The sequence below is a fragment of the Homo sapiens genome, chromosome 3 (assembly GCF_000001405.40).
Source record: "Homo sapiens chromosome 3, GRCh38.p14 Primary Assembly".
Lineage (NCBI taxonomy): Eukaryota > Metazoa > Chordata > Mammalia > Primates > Hominidae > Homo > Homo sapiens.
Genome location: NC_000003.12, coordinates 150,651,396 through 150,667,523, shown reverse-complemented (window position 1 = coordinate 150,667,523; position 16,128 = coordinate 150,651,396). Strand labels below are relative to the sequence as shown.

General features: G+C 41.1%; 1 protein-coding gene across 3 annotated transcripts in view, besides 1 other annotated feature; it reads left to right on the top strand.

The window, feature by feature from the left end:
* Positions 1-7,639, top strand: part of ERICH6 (glutamate rich 6) — a 44,036-nt gene extending 36,397 nt beyond the window's left edge. For 2 of the 3 annotated variants that reach the window (NM_001308234.2, NM_152394.5), the window contains exons 13-14: positions 509-737; positions 7,369-7,639. In NM_001308234.2, the coding sequence (NP_001295163.1) occupies positions 509-737; positions 7,369-7,632 (493 nt within the window). In that variant the 3' untranslated portion in view covers positions 7,633-7,639. The remainder of the gene's footprint in view (positions 1-508; positions 738-7,368) is intronic. The other variant, XM_005247120.4, reaches the window with a different exon arrangement.
* Positions 14,126-14,265: an enhancer, noted in NCBI's record as "active region_20694". NCBI's record gives its function as "activates an Ori minimal core promoter by ATAC-STARR-seq in GM12878 lymphoblastoid cells {active_cell/tissue: GM12878}" and the evidence as "EXISTENCE:reporter gene assay evidence [ECO:0000049][PMID:35858748]".

Below are 16,128 nucleotides of genomic sequence, written 5' to 3'. Positions count from 1 at the left end.
GCCTCTGCCCCCACATTCAGCCATGATGGGAGGACTCCTGGAAGGACTCCTAGCTCCTAGTTGGGAATTGCCAGAAAACAGCTCTCTTGTACTGAGGTCAACACAGCCTTCCCCAGAATTTACAGCCACAGGTCTTTATTTCGGTGTGGTGAAAATCTAAGCACTGGTCTTTCCTCCTCTTTCAGGATTAATCTACTCTTCTGTATCTCATTTTCTCCAGACTAAGCCTTCCCTGCTCCCTCTTCAACCTTCCAGACTCCTTCATCCCAGGCTGATCCTTTGGACCCATTTTAGTTTATCAGTATGAACTCAAACAGGATACAGTACTTCAGATTCGTGTAGAATTTAGTCATAGTATTATCACTCCTAAGATTACCTGAAGTTTCCACCACTCCTGCTAATCGCTGGCATAAACCGTTACTCCCCTTGGTTAGCAAGTGACAGGGATAATTCCAGTATTTAATTACAGTGTTACTGTTTATGATATTTACATTTCCTTCCTGACCAGGGTATACATCAATATCTTGGGAGGTCAATATTCAGATCAAGCCGGCAACAGAATAAGGGCTTGGAATTGGTCAAATTCCATCACTTCCTCACCCTTTGTTTCATTTAAACCTGTCTTTCTGGCTTTGAACCGTTATATTGGAGTCCGCATCTTAGAACAAGACAAGATTTCTATAACTTTTCTAGCAATGGGCCAACAGGCAAGAATCAGTGTTGGAACCAAAGTGAAGGTAGGTACATTTTTAAAAACAGTTTAAAGCATTTAGAATAATAATAAGAGTAAACTAACTTTTGTTAGTATTATTACTGATAGATTACACTAGTGCATAATCTACTGTCCACTAGGATTTTGGAATTCAATGGAAAAACATGTAATGAAAGCTTCATATGGAATTGAGGTGGCTTTACTGTTTCTTACTCTGAAATTCCTTTTAGTTCAGACTCAGATCCAAGTAACACTTATTGAGTGTTTGCTCTGTGCCAGAGTAGTGCTGCTCTGGGGGTTTAGTTTAAAGATTTCGTATTGTGTTTGTTTTTCTCCCCGCCATGGTAGAGAGACTTGGGTTGGGTCAGGAGACCTGAGTTTGAATCATGTTCAAGACCAATCATAAGCCCTGTCTCCTTAGAGACACTTCCCAGACCTCCTAGTCCTTCACCCAGTCAGCCTCAACCACATCCTTCTGTGGGTTTTCTGTGTACTTGCCACCATCCCCGTGCTTGTTGAACAGTGCTGCCGTTCCTACTGGATGGCAAGCTCCTGACAGGAAGAATCTCTATCTTGTTGACTTCTGTAACTCCAGTGCCTCTCCCAGGGCACAGCCCTGAGTACACTCTCAGTGACCGGCAATAATGCACGATGGTTAAGAACGTGGAATTCAGGTTGCAGATTCTCTGTAGTTTCAAACCTCAGCTCTGCCACTTGACTGAGTGAGCTTGAACTTCAGTTTCCTTATCCATAAAATGGAATAATGATTCCGACCTTACAGATTGCTGTGAAGATTTGATGAGAATGCAAAGTACTAAGGGTGGTACTTGGCACTAAATAAAATAATATAGACATAGAGATGGATACAAATAGAGATGGATGTATAGCTATATACATAAATAACACATATAGTGTGTGACTTTGAACAGGTCCCTTAAACTTTAAGGACCTTTGTGTCATTGATTTTTTTTTTTTTTTTTTTTTGAGATGGAGCCTTGCTCTGTCTTCCAGGCTGGAGTACAGTGGCGCGATCTCAGCTCACTGCAACCTCCACCTCCCAGGTTCAAGCAATTCTTCCTGCCTCACCGTCCTGAGTAGCTGGGACTACAGGCGCCCACCACCATGCCCGGCTAATTTTTGTATTTTTAGTAGAGACAGGGTTTCACCATGTTGGCCAGGCTGGTCTCGAACTCCTGACCTCAGGTAATCCACCTGCCTCAACCTCTGAAAGTGCAGAGATTCCAGGCATGAGCCACCACTCCCGGCCTGTTTCGTCGATTTTTTTTTTTTTTTTTTGAGATGGAGTCTCTCTCCGTCGCCAGGCTGGAGTGCAGTGGTGCGAGCTTGGCTCACTGCAACCTCCGCCTCCCGGGTTCAAGCGATTCTCCTGTCTCAGCCTCCCAAATAGCTGGGACTACAGGCACACCACCATGTAAGGCCTGTTTCATTGATTTTTAAAGGAAGACATAGCTCCAAACTTCAAAAGTGCCTTCAACTTTTAAGTATGTGGAAATAGAATCTCAATATTCAACACAGGAAGGAATATCTCATGACCACCAAACAAAGGGGAGATTTCAAATTCAGGCAACATAGAGCGAGGGTCTACAATGTGCTAAGCACTTTTCCAGTTCCTTTCAGTAAGTCTGGAAACTGCAGTCAAATTTTTAGGCTCCAGACAAACTTCTTTCTTGGTTAGAAATCTGCAGTATCCCCTCCTTTTGTTACATTACATCCATAGTAAATACATTCTTACACAAAATATAAAAATACTTCTTTCTCCCCTCTCTCTCTCCCTCTACTTCCTTCCCCCACCCCTGCACCTCCCTTCCTCTCCCCACTTAGAAATTAATTTTAATCAAAAAAGAGTCATTTTGATGCAAAAGGAAGAGTTCATTATTAAAGTTTTTTACTTTTCTCATTGTTCTCATAATCACCCTTTAGGTTTTTTTTTTAATTACAAGCAACTTGTGAATATATTTTTATATTTAAAGATTTAAAGATTCAAACAATACAGAAATAAAGATAATTTTTTAAAAAATGAGATTCCCTTTATTTCTTCTTCTATTCTAACTCCCTTCCCCAAAGTAAGCACCACACAAAATTTAGTGTGTACCTTCCTTCTTACTATGTATTTATAAATTATTTTATACATCTTTTTTTTTTTTCAGATGGAGTCTCGCTCTGTTGCCCAGACTGGAGTGCAGTGGAGTGATCTTGGCTCACTGCAACCTCCACCTCCCGGGTTCAAGCGATTCTCATGCCTCAGCCTCCTGAGTAGCTGGGGCTCAGGCGTGCACCACCACACTCAGTTAATTTTGTATTTTTAGTAGAGGCGGGGTTTCACCATGTTGGCCAGGCTGGTGTCGAACTCCTGACCTCAGGTGATCTGCCTACCTGGGCCTCCCAAAATGCCGAGATTATAGGCGTGAGCCACCGTGCCCAGCCTATTTTATACATCTTTTTTAAAACATAAAAATTAGATAATATACAGATTATATTGTTGATGGGGGTTCCTATTTGTTTTTGTTTCCCACTTAGTAAGTATTGAAGATTTATTTGTGTCTACATTTTGAAGAATATTGAATTCAATATAAATATTAAATTTATATGAAATTTAATGACTTCTCAGTGGCATTAAACACTGATGATCTCTTCTTCCTGGAATCATTTCTTCCCTTGCTTCCAAGACTATTCTCCCCTGATTTTCCCTGTACCTCACAGGCTGTTTCTTCTCATTTTTCTGGCCTGATTACTCTTCATCTCCCCTTTTTCTAAATATTGGAGGAACCCAGAGCTTGTCCTTGGGTGGTCTTTTCTCTATATTCACTCCTCAGATTATCTCAGATAATCTCATTATCTGATTATATTATCAGATTATCTCATTGAGTCTCACTTCCTTAAATATCATCTGCATGCTGATAGCCCTTTAATTTGTATCTTCAGGTAGATCTCCTATGAACTTGAGACTTGCAAGTCTCTGATTCCAATTCAACATACCCATCTGGATTTCTAAGGGGGCATGAAAAAAAACACAGGCCAGGCGCGGTGGCTTATGCCTGTAATCCCAGCACTTTGGGAGGCTGTGACGGGAGCATTACTTGAGCCCAGGAGTGTGAGACCAGCTTGGGCAACATAGTGAGACCCGATCTCTATGAAAGTCGTTTTTTAAATTCTCCAGACATGGTGGCGCATGCCTGTGGTCTCAGCTATCTGGGAGGCTGAGGTGAAAGGATAACTTGAGCCCACCATTGGCGGGGTGGGGGCAGGGGGTTCAAGGCTGCATGAGCCGTGATTGTGCTGCTGCACTCCAGCCTGGGCAACAGAGCAAGACCCTGTTAGGAAAAAAAGAAAAAACTTAACACAGCAGAACTTGATTTCAACACTTGATCCAGTCTCAGTCCTCTCCATCTCAGAAAATGGCAACTACATTCTTTCACTTATTCAGGACAAAAACTCGGGAGTAGTTTCACAACTCTAAACGCTGTTTCACAGTCCCATACCAACTCATCTGTAAACTCTACCTCCAAAATACCTCCAGAGTCTCACACTTCTCACATTTTCCAGTGCTATCATTCTTGTCTGCCTCTTTACCTGATCCATCTCTTGCTTGATTATTGCAATAGCCTCCTAATAAGTCTCCCTGCTTCTGGCCTTCCCAAAGTCTATTCTAACACAATACTTAGAATGATACTTTGAAAACGTAAGTCTGGTCAGAACTCTCCGGGGACTTCTAATTTTACTCGAGTAAAAGCCAAGGCCCTATAAAGACTTGCAATGCTGTACACAATCTGGACCTCTTTCTCTGAATAATCTCTCTGTATTATCTTATCTCACTCATTCTGTTCCAGCCATACTGGCCTTTTTGCTATTCCTTGAAAATATCAGGCATGTTCCTGTCACAGAGTCTTTGCATTTGCTGTCGCCTCAACCTAAAATGTTTTATCCCCATTTAGCATGTGGCTGTTCCCTCACTTCCTTCAGGCTTCTGCGCAGCGTCCTTTTCTGAGCAACCCATCAAAACCAGCCACACCCACCCCCACCTTCTCCCTAGCACTCTGAGTGCCTCTTTGGTCATTTGCCACACGTTTTAATATATAGTGCTGTCATTTTCTTTCACTTCTAAATAATTTAGAATACCCATTTTGACTTCAATGCAGTAGTCACTGAATTTTCAAATAGATAGAAAGATTTACCCCTCTCTTGTTAATTTCAAAATGGTCAGGAAATATGACTTGCAGTTTTTTCCTTCCTGTTTAGAATATATTGATATTTTCTTTGTGGTTGGTTACATAATTTTTATAAGTGTTCCATGTATATTTAACCAAAAAAGTTGTACAGTTTATTGGTACAAAATTCTATGTCCAGTTGTTCTAGCCACACCTCCCTCTCTATCCTTTTATTTTTGTGTCATTGGGTTTACTTCTGAGAAATGTATGAAAGTTTCCCAAAATGGTTGTGAACTTGTTCATTGTTTCTAGTATTTCAATCAACTTTTGCCGTATATATTTTGAAGCTCTGTGATCAGGAAATTAAAGATGCTGACTCTCTTCTTTGTGAGTTGTACCTTTCGCCAGGGCCAGCCCATTCTTTCCCCTCACTCATTCGCTCTTCAGTTGTTCCCATTACGCGCCCTAGTGTATTAGTGAGGGTTTTGTTTTTATTTTGACAATAAAGGTAGTAATGTTATCAACATGTGTTATTCCTAATTTCCCTTTTAGTGGCCTTTACCTTAAGTGCTATTCCATCTGATGTTAAATTCTTACACTTGCTTTCTCTTTGTTAGCGTTTGTTTGATATTTTTTCATCCTTTGATTTTCAACCTTTTTAATGTAGTTTTGAGTTATATGTTCTCGGGCAAACCACATATAGTTGGATTGTGTTCCTTTCCTCAACCTAGCAGACTCAGTGGTTTTTTTGTTTGTTTGTTTTTAGAGACAGGGTTTTGCTCTGTCACCCAGGCTGGAGTGTAGTGGCGTGACCATAGCTCACTGTAACTGAAAACTCCTGGGTTCAAGCCATCATCCTGCCTCAGCCTCCCAAGTAGCTAGGACTACAGGCATGCACCACCATGCCCAGCTAACAGACTCAGTCTTTTAATACACTATATTTTAATGGTTAGTTTAAAATTAACATATCTTTTATAATATGCATAGAATTAACTTCCAAATCCTCTAGTTGTTTTTCTTCCTTAACAATATTCTCTCAAGTCCCTCGGAAAATATTAACTATATAAATATGGATATATTTCCTAAAGTCTTCCTCTATCTCCTAATTATTTTTCCTTGAGTATAAGTTTCTCTGATAGGTAAATCTGGTGCCTCTCTTTAGTGGCGTCAAATATTCGGTGATTCTCAGTTGTGTGTTCAATTTGAATTTGAGAATTCCTGTTTCCCTGTTCTGCTTACTAAAGTTTGCTTCAGATGCTAAGGGGTAGAAGGCTAGCGCTAGTGCCCGCTGCCAGCCTCAGCCTGTGGGCATCAGTGCTCAACACAAAAAGGAAAAGGTGAGGGGCCTGCCTCCCAATTGATCAGCCTAATGTTTACCTCAGACTCCATCCTGCTTCCCATTTCTGTTGAGTTTGAGCTCAGAGTATATGTGTTTTTGGTTAGTGGTTTCATTTCGTCATTTCTCTCTATATGCATATGGTCTCATCTGCTTTTTGATTTTTCAGGAATTCCTTAAAATTATCCTGCCGATGAAATCTTTCTTATTCCAACCCCGCTGGAAACAAGGTGGGGGCAGGGGGATAAATCTTTCTTATTAGAGCCATCATTGACTTAATCTGTAAAAAAGTTTTCTGTCATGGTGTGATATTTGGGGTAAAAGATTCTGAACTATTCTTTGTTATTTGTCCATCTCATACTCTTTCCTTCCTCTATTCCTTCCTTTCTATGGAAGGAGGAGTGAAATACAGAAATGATACTGTAAGTATCACCTTTGCAGGTAAGTGGTCACTTAGCTTGCAGAGGGTAGTAGTTCTGCTTGCATTTAACCTGCCCCAGAGAGGCTAAATGCCCCTTCTAGGCTGGCTTTGAAGCTACAGACTGAAAACACTTCAGGCAAGACTGTCCTGGCAAATCCATTTAGGCTTCTGCAGCTGCAAGAAGACAACACCAGCCTTGAATCGTCAAAAGCTGTGAGAGAGTGGGGAGAGCAGAGGCCAAAGAAGAGTAAGGGAGAGGTTAATTTGGAATGGCCTCCTGGAGGTTGGGGCACATTTAGGAGCAGGAAAGGGAGTTTTAGTTTTTCCCAGTCCTACCTTCTCTGCGGAAAATTGCCCTTCTCAGTGCCTTCCCAGTGAGCACCCAGCCTTCAGACCAGCACTCACCCTACCTCCCCCACTGGGTACTTTCCAGGCAAGGGACTGTGTCTGAGGCATCTTTGTGATCCCCTCAGTAGGTGCTGGTTAAATTACTTGAATAAATTATAGGCTTTTGAAGGTATCCAGATTCCATTTGGTCTCTCAAGTCTCCACAGTGTTTCAGCTCTTTCTTCATTCAGAGTAGAATAACACCACCGCCCCTGCTTACGGATGAATTAGAGTGGACCCTCATCAGGGAATCCAACCCCACATAAGTGCCATGACTCAGCTCCTCCCACCTCCCCAGTTCCACTTCTGGACTCTGAGTTTCCTTCTCTTTCTCTTTGCTGAAAAGCTACCAAACCCTGAGGAGATTCCAATCCTCCGATACGTAAGTGGAGATGACCTTCTTCTGCTGGCCAGTTTAATAAAGATCCGTCGCCTGTTTCATAAACTTGAAGGATGTGTGAATTTTCCCTCAAGCCAGGTTTGGGAAAAATTAAAGCAACCTTCCTACCTTTCTTCACTTTCTCTAAAACTAATTGCCCTTTGTCACAGTTCTGGTATAAAGCAAGATATAATGAAGACAATAAGAAATATAATAAATGAAGAAATTTAACTAAGAATGATGGTGCTTTCATTTGTTTTGTTGAATTTTTTTGGGTTTTTTTGGTTGAAGTTTTTTTGGGGTGGGAGGATCAGGAGTGTGATGGCTAGTATCAATCAAGGGTCAGCTTGATTGGATTGAAGGACGCAAAGTATTGTTCCTGGGTGTTGTCAGTGTGGGTGTTGCCAAAGGAGATTAACATTTGAGTCAGTGGACTGGGAGAGGCAGACTCACCCTCAACCTGGATGGGCACCATCTAATCAGCAGCCAGCGCAGCTAGGATAAAGCAGGCAGAGGAAGGTGGAACGAGCAGACTTGCTGAGTCTTCCAGCTTTCAACTTTCTCCTGTTCTGGCTGCTTCCTGACCTCGAACATCAGACTCCAAGTTCCTCAGCTTTTGGACTCTTGGACTTACACCAGTGGTTTGCCAGGGGCTCTCAGGCCTTTGGTCACAGACTGAAGGCTGCACTGTTGGCTTCCCTAGTTTTGAGATTTTGGGACTCAGACTGTCTTCCTTGCTCCTCACCTTGCAGAAGGCCTAGTTTGGGACTTCATCTTGTGATGGTGTAAGTCAGTACTCTTTAATAAGCTCCCCTTCATATATACATCTATCCTAGTAGTTCTTTCCCTCTAGAGACCCCAGAATAATACAGGGAGGATTCAAAAAAAGTGTACAAAATGACTAAAATACCAAGAAATATGCTATATTATCAATTTAGAACAAATTCTGAGCATTCACTGGTTTACTTTTTTTTTTTTAAGAGATGAGGTCTCACTGTTGAAGTGGTGTCATTTTCTGGGGTGATACCCAAGGTTCATTGCCTCATGCCAGGAAAATTAAGCACACAGACACACACACACAAGGAGTGAGTTTAAGAGCAGAGGTTTAGGCCGGGCACGGTGGCTCACACCTGTAATCCCAGCACTTTAGGAGGCCAAGGCGGGAAGATCACAAGGTCAAGAGTTCTAGATCAGCCTGACCAATATGGTGAAACCCCATCTCTACTAAAAATACAAAAATTAGCCAGGCGTGGTGGCACATGCCTGTAATCCCAGCTAATCAGGAGGCTGAGGCAGGAGAATTGCTTGAACCCAGGAGGCAGAGCTTGCAATGAGCTGAGATCGCGCCACTGCACTCCAGCCTGAGTGACAGAGCGAGACTCCATGTCAAAAAAAAAAAAAAAAAAAAAAGGCAGAGGTTTAATAGGCAAAAGAAAGAGAAGGGAGAATAGCTCTCTCCTGGGAGAGACAGAGGAGCCCAAATGGGACTTCTGGCACCGGATTTTATAGACAGGCTTGAGGAGTCGGTGTCTGATTTACATAGGGCCCATAGTTTGGTTGGACTAGGTGTGTTGTTTACATAATGCACAGGGAAACTGGCTGCCCCACCCTAATCTTATTATGCAAATGGAGTCTTTGCCTGGTAGGCACCATGTTGCCTGCTTCTTACTGTACACGTGGCTGGCAAAGAGAAGGGAAGATGGAGCCACCATTTTGAACATGCCTAGTCCCTGTAGCCTTTTCCTATTGGCACAGCTGCCAGCATTCACCCATACAAGCTTTCAGTTTGCTTGTCTATGTTTGCAGCTCAATTTTACAGGCTGCTCTTTGTTAGAAAAGAAAATCATTTGGGGGCTGCTTTTCATTAAAAGGAAAACCTTACTGAGGACATCCTTACCCTCATTATTTGCCTAAGTAATTCCTTTTTAACTCTTATATCACTGTGTTGCCCAGGCTGGTCTTGAACTCCTGGGCTCAAGCTATCCTCCCAATGTGGCCTCCCAAAGTGCTGAAATTACAGATGAGCCACCCCAGCCTAATAACGCAAGAATGCCTCTTGTTATTATTATTATTATTATTATTATTATTATTTTGAGAACGGGATTTGCTGTGGCACCCAGACTGGAGTGCAGTGGCTCAATCTCAGTTCACTGCAGCTTCGACCTTCCTAAGCTCAAGTGATCCTACCACCTCAGCCAGTTCAATGATAGGGTTGCTTTAGAACAGAAAGCAAAGTTGAGAGTTGGAGGTGGAGGAGCCTCAAGACATAGAAGGGCGCCAGAATTCTGCAGCTCCTGCACTTCCTGGGACTTACTTCTCAACTCTTTGTTCTTTGGGAGAGGGTGAAATGTAGTTTCAGGGGACACTCCTTACACTGAATTCCAAATTTGGTGCTAGTGTGGAACAAGAGAGATTAGGCCTACCCACCATTCACGACTTAGTGTCAAATTATATCGTTTCCCTGCTAAGAGCTACCTGAGGAAATACAAGAGGGAATGGAAAGGAATGGAGTAAGTGGAAGCATAGAGTATTCCAGGGAAACTGAGTGACTGGGAGATTGGGGGCCTGGTTCTTGCTATTAATCCATTAACTTCCCTTTTTTTCTTTTCCTGCCTTTAGTTAGCCTTCTTTCTAGGAATTTTGTTAATACTGAGGATTCTGTTTTATTTTATTTTTTATTTTCACTTTTGCCATTCTCCACTGCTATCGTTGTGAAAAAGAGGTTCCTAGATTCACATTTTAATCTACATTAAAGTCTCTCTCTTTTTCTTTTTTCATTTTGCCTTTAGCCTCTTCCTTTTCATTGATGAGTAAACTTTTAGCTTCTATCAAGTGAGATATTAAAATAATTGAGCTAAAATGTATCAGAATAACACTAAAAATTTGCACATAAGGGCAAATTGCAACAAAGCCCTAATTGAAATCTGTTTTTGTACATCATTAAAAACCACTTTTGGGGTGCTGAGCCCCAAAGGCCTTGATTTGCTGAGATTAGCAGGATAATGGGACAGCGTCTTTTACCATGTTGCTTCATGTCTAATGCCAGAATGTTATTTACTTTACTAAATGATAATTAATGACATGTAATAAGGATGTGAAAGAAAATAAAAATCTCAGGACTCCAAACTCACTATGCCAAAGGAAAGAGTCAAGCTTGAGAACTAAGTCACGCAAAACTGCTATTTTGTTCCTAATTAGATAGCTACAAAGAGAAAAGGCTACATACTTCCTTCACAATTTACTCAAAAGGAAATTCTTTTGGGGGGCCCCAAAATCTTACCCTGAAACAGCTTCATTGAATGTTAACCTGACAATGTAAATTAACAGCTTCTCGTCACAGGCATAGGGAAAAGTCATCCCTCTGCTCACCTGAGACAAATGCATATTTGACTACTTCCTCTACTCTATGTTTATCTTATATAAAAATGCAGATCCACCAGCATGAGATGAATGCATAATTTTTCCTATATCCCCTCCTTTCCCGTGTAAAATGTGGATTCAGTGAATGCTGATCAAAGACGCAAAAGATGCAACTGCTTGCCCCTTTTATTCCTTCCTCTTTTTTTCCTCCCCCTTTTTTTCCTTCCTCTTTCCCTTACTACCCACTCTTTCCCCTTTAAATATTGAAATCTCAGCTCAGGTGCAGTGGCTCATGCTTGTAATCCCAGCACTTTGGGAGGCTGAGGCAGGCGGATCCAGCCTGGGTGACACAGCCAGACTTTTCTCAAATAAATAAATATTGAAATCTCAAACCTTATTTCGAAAAATAATGGGTCATTGATGTTCCTGTGGTTTTGTGCTCCTTTCTCCCGGGTGCATCCTCAATCTTGGGAAAATAAACCTCTAAAATGATTGAGACTCATTTCAGTCATTTAATTTGATTTACATTTTCTTTGATTTATAAGAAATTTACATTACTTATTTTAAAAATTATTAAAAGTGAAAATATTCCCAAGTGGAAAACATCTATCTATCTATCAGTCTCATATTTCAAGGCAGTTAGACTTATTTAAGGGAACTGAATAATTCAAAATAACAATAGTGATAAACCTTTTTTTATATTTGAGACAGAGTGTCACTCTGTCACACAAGCTGGAGTACAGTGACACAATCTCGGCTCACTGCAACTTCTGCCTCCCGTGTTCAAGTGGTTCTTGTGCCTCAGCCTCCCGAGTAGCTGGGATTACAGGCACATGTCACCACACCTGGCTAATTTTTGTATTTTTAGTGGAGACAGAGTTTCACCATGTTTCCCAGACTGGTCTCGAACTCCTGGCCTTAAGTGATACACCCAACTGGGCCTCCCAAAGTGGTAGGATTACAGGTGTGAGCCACAGCACTGGGCCAGATAGCCATCTTTAATATTGTGCTCAATTTCATTCCAGTCCTTTCTCTCTGTGTGTGTGTGTGTGTGTGTGTGCGCGTGTGTGTGTGAAATTTCACACAGGGGAATTAGTCATTGCCAATAAGAATTTTGAAAGATAGAAAGTAAATGGAATTTTTGTTCCCAAAAGAAAGCCACAGAAAAACTCTATTATAGAACTGCAAAATAAGCCAACAAAATTAAATGCACATTGTTTGTTAGTAAACTGGAAATAAATATCTTGTGAAACTGTTAGGATTTTCATTTTCACAGTAAATTTACTACTAGTTTATTAAAAAAATAATTAAGCAAAGGCTATTGGAGTCTACTTTGTTTTAATAGATGTATTTAAATAAAATTAATAGGATTTGGATGGCCAATAACATTCAGAAGCAAATGTTATACTATAATAATAAAAATTTCTTAGAAACACAGAATTTCTGGCTGGGCATGGTGGCTCACACCTGTAATCCCAGCACTTTGGGAGGCTGCGGCAGGAGGATCACTTGAGCTCAGGAGTTTGAAACCAGCATGGGCAACATAGTGAGACCTCATCTCTACTAAAAATCAAAAAAATTAGCCAGGCATGTAGTCCTAGCTACTAGAGAGGCTGAGCCTGGGAGGTTGAGCCTGCAGTGAGCTATAATCACACCACTGCACTCCAGCCTGGGCAACAGAGTGAGGCTCTGTCTCAAAAAAGCAAAAAGAAACAAACAAAAAAACAGAAATGAACTGTATTTTTCTTCAACTATGTTAGAGGGTACACCAAGGGCAAGTAAACAATAGATTTTACTTCAAACCAAGTAATTTTGTCCTGATCATTCTGTCATTCTATTGTTCCATTTCCCTGTGAAACAACAAATATTATGCTTTTTTTTTCTTATCTCTGTCTTATTCCAGAAATGATATAAGGTGTCTTTTAGGAATATATCCAACATAGGAAAATAAAATACTTTAAAAATAGGTGAATATCAGTGAGGCAAGTAGAAAATAATATGAAATGAGATATGAAATGAGGAGTAAGACTGTTTTCAAAATGCCGTAAGGGGCTGGACAGAGCAAAACCCTGTCTCAAGAAGAAAAAAAAAAAAAGTCACAAGACCTAATACCCTTGCTAGGTTGGGATAATACAATCTGTAATGAGAAGATAATCAATAAATGATTACGGCCTCCTCAAGTTACACGTTTCCTTAGAAAGAGTGTTGTTTCAGTTTCTCCCGTATAACACAGAGTGAAATCCCGGAGTTAGGAATACCTTGATTTGAGCCAAACTGGCAAGTGTAAAGCAGGTAATGAGAGGACTGTGTGTGTTCACAGTCACGCAAGAAAATCACTAGAGCATCTATAGTACACCTTGTCGTGTGACCCAGCATTAGACAATGCACAGAAAAGTCCAGGGATCCACTTTTCACATACTTGCTCTATAGGACTGACACCGGGAAATGAAAAACCACAGTGTAACATCCATCCAGACTCTTCAGAGACGATGCCCAATTGTGTCATTTTCAAAATAACACAGAGGCTTCCCTCTGTTAAACTATTAAGCAAAGGGGCAACACGCTGGAAACATAATCAACCCCTTGATCTCTTGTTTGTATGAATGCGTATTAGCACCTGACAAATGTTGAATGAATGAATGAACAAGTAAAGTGAAATCTCTACAAGAGATATACATGGCCATGGAGGAAAATTCTTACTGTCTCTTTGCTGCTCTATTCAGTGCTTGACAGAGTGGGTTGAAAGTAGATTAAAATAGATTCATATCAAAGCCTAGTTCCCACTTCAATCCTTTTATGAAAAACCTGGCTTTCTCTGGAGTTGAGCTGCCACTGGTAACAAATTTCTCAGAAACATGGCTGGCACTGGCACTGTCTCTATATAAACCGAATGTGTTAATAAAAGTTTTAATTCCAGGTTCAGAGTTTACTCCATCCATTCATTTGTTCATCTGTTTAATAAACATTTATTCATTGCTTATTTCATACCAAGTACTGGTGATACAAACTTAGAACTCATAGTTTCCTGTCCTCAGGAAAAACAGGACACAAGAAGAGGCCATGACAAAACAATGAGGTATGCTCAGTGACAAAAAGAAGTACAGAGAGCACTAAAAGGAGAGCATATGTCTCAGCTCAGGAAGTAGATGTCATGTGCGGGTGGAGGGAGGAGGGAGCAAAGAAGGCAAAGGAATCAAATGACCCATCTCAGAATGATCATAGAATTTTTTCCAGAAGCAATAATTAACCCATGAGTATGTTGACTGGAAGTCAGAATCACAGGTGACTCAAATGATGACGAGAAAGTCACAAATACCCAGATGATAATAAGTATGTGCTCAACCCCTTGAGGACTTGCCCACACCATCAGATTAGCAAGAAAGGGCCAGAAATGATTCAGGCAAATCCTGTCCTTGACCAAGTACTGAAGGAGGCCACAATGACCTCTGGAAAGGTAGAGAGCAAAAGAAGGAGTCACAAGCTTCATCTCAGGCACTGAGGGTAGAAGGAGATGGCCTGGCTTTGATCCAAAGTGAAAGGTTCAGTGGTGGATGAAACCAACGCAAAGTGAAAGGTTCAGTGGTGGATGAAACCAACGCATGAGACGTTGGGACATTCAGAAGGAAAGGCAACACTGGCTAGAGCCTCTGTTTAGGACACTACCAGGTTCCTCTGCATTCTCCCTAATCTATATGCCAGTGATCAGCAAAATGCAGGAAGGATGAAGAATGAAGTGATAGGAAAGGGTAACAGGTTTGCATGGTAGAGAAGGCATCAGTGTGTACATTCATTCATTCAATACAAATTTAGCACATGCCAGGCACTGTACATGGCCCTTGTGGTGTTAATATTCCAGTGGGAAATAATTTCAGAATGTGTTAGGAGTAAGTAATCAGGTAAGCAGGGGACTACTTTACATATGTAGTAAGAGAAGGCCTCTCTGAGGAGCCAATATGTAAAAATGGAGAAGAAACTAGTTGCACAGTGAGCTGAGACAAGAGTGTTCCAGAAAGAAAGAACATCAAGTTCTGAGATGGGAATGAGCTTGGCTGCACACTCCAGGGCTAGAAAGGAGGCCACTGTGCATGACAGGGAGCGTGGTGCAAGGTGAGGCTGGTGAGGTAGGAGGAGCCAGTGAAGGCAGCTGTGTGCACTAGGGTAAGGAGTTGGGATTTTAATCCACAGACGCTTGTCTTTTTCTTGAAGGGGTGCCAATTTTTAAAACCTGCAGAGTTGATCAAACTATGCGTTTTTTCTCTATCCTACCCAATAATGATGATCCAGGAGCAAGGATGGAAAAACAATGGGAACACTCAAATACCTTTGGAGAAAATGAAAATTGGTATCATCATTTGGAGAGCAAATTGCATTAGCCAATAAAGCTGAGGATGTGCCTACCCAACACATGGAGGTTCCGTTCCTAAATAGAGATATCCTAAAGAAACTCACTGTATCAGTCCATTATCGCACTGCTATAAAGAAATACCTGCGACTGGGTAATTTAGAAAGAAAAGAGGTTTAATTGGCTCACAGTTCTGCAGGCTGGACAGGAAGCATGATGGGGGAGCAGGCACTTCACATGGCTAGGAGCAGGAAGAAGAGAGAGAGGGCTTGGGGGCGATGCTACACAGTTTTAAACAACCAGATCACATGAGAACTCACTCACTACACTGTACCAAGGTGGGGGGTGGTGCCAAACCATTCATGAGAAACCATCCCCATGATACAATCACCTTCCACCAGGTCTCACCTCCAGCACTGGGGATTACAATTCAACATCAGCTTTGTGTGGGAACACGGATCCAAACCATATCACTCACGTTTACTCAGTGAAACAAAAACAAGCTTGTTCACTGAAGCATTGTTTGTAATAGAAAAACAACAGCAACAACAAAACGTCCATCAACAGAATAGGTAAATTGTAGTGTATTCACACAGTGGAATTCCACACAGTACTGAAAACGAATGAACTAGGAATACCTGCATCAATATGAACAAATCTGAAAAACATTTTCACTTTGAATGAAAAAAGCAAGAGGGCAAAGGAACACATTCAGTATTATTCTATTTATATGAAGTTTTAAAATATGCAAAATGATCCCATGTATCATTTAGGTAGACATACTTGTGTAGGACATACTTGTGTAGGAAAAGTTTAAAGAAATGCACGGGAATGCTTGATGTCAAGTTTTGGGACGGCGCTTACCACTGGAGCTATATGTGATGTCGAGAGGTATACAGCGGGCTGTGACTATTTCTTAAGCAACATGGTAAGTTCAGGAGGTCTTCATTAACTATTCTTTATTTTTTTTAATATCTGAAATTTCTCTTTTTATATTTAAAAGACTAGCCAGAAGCAAGCAAGTA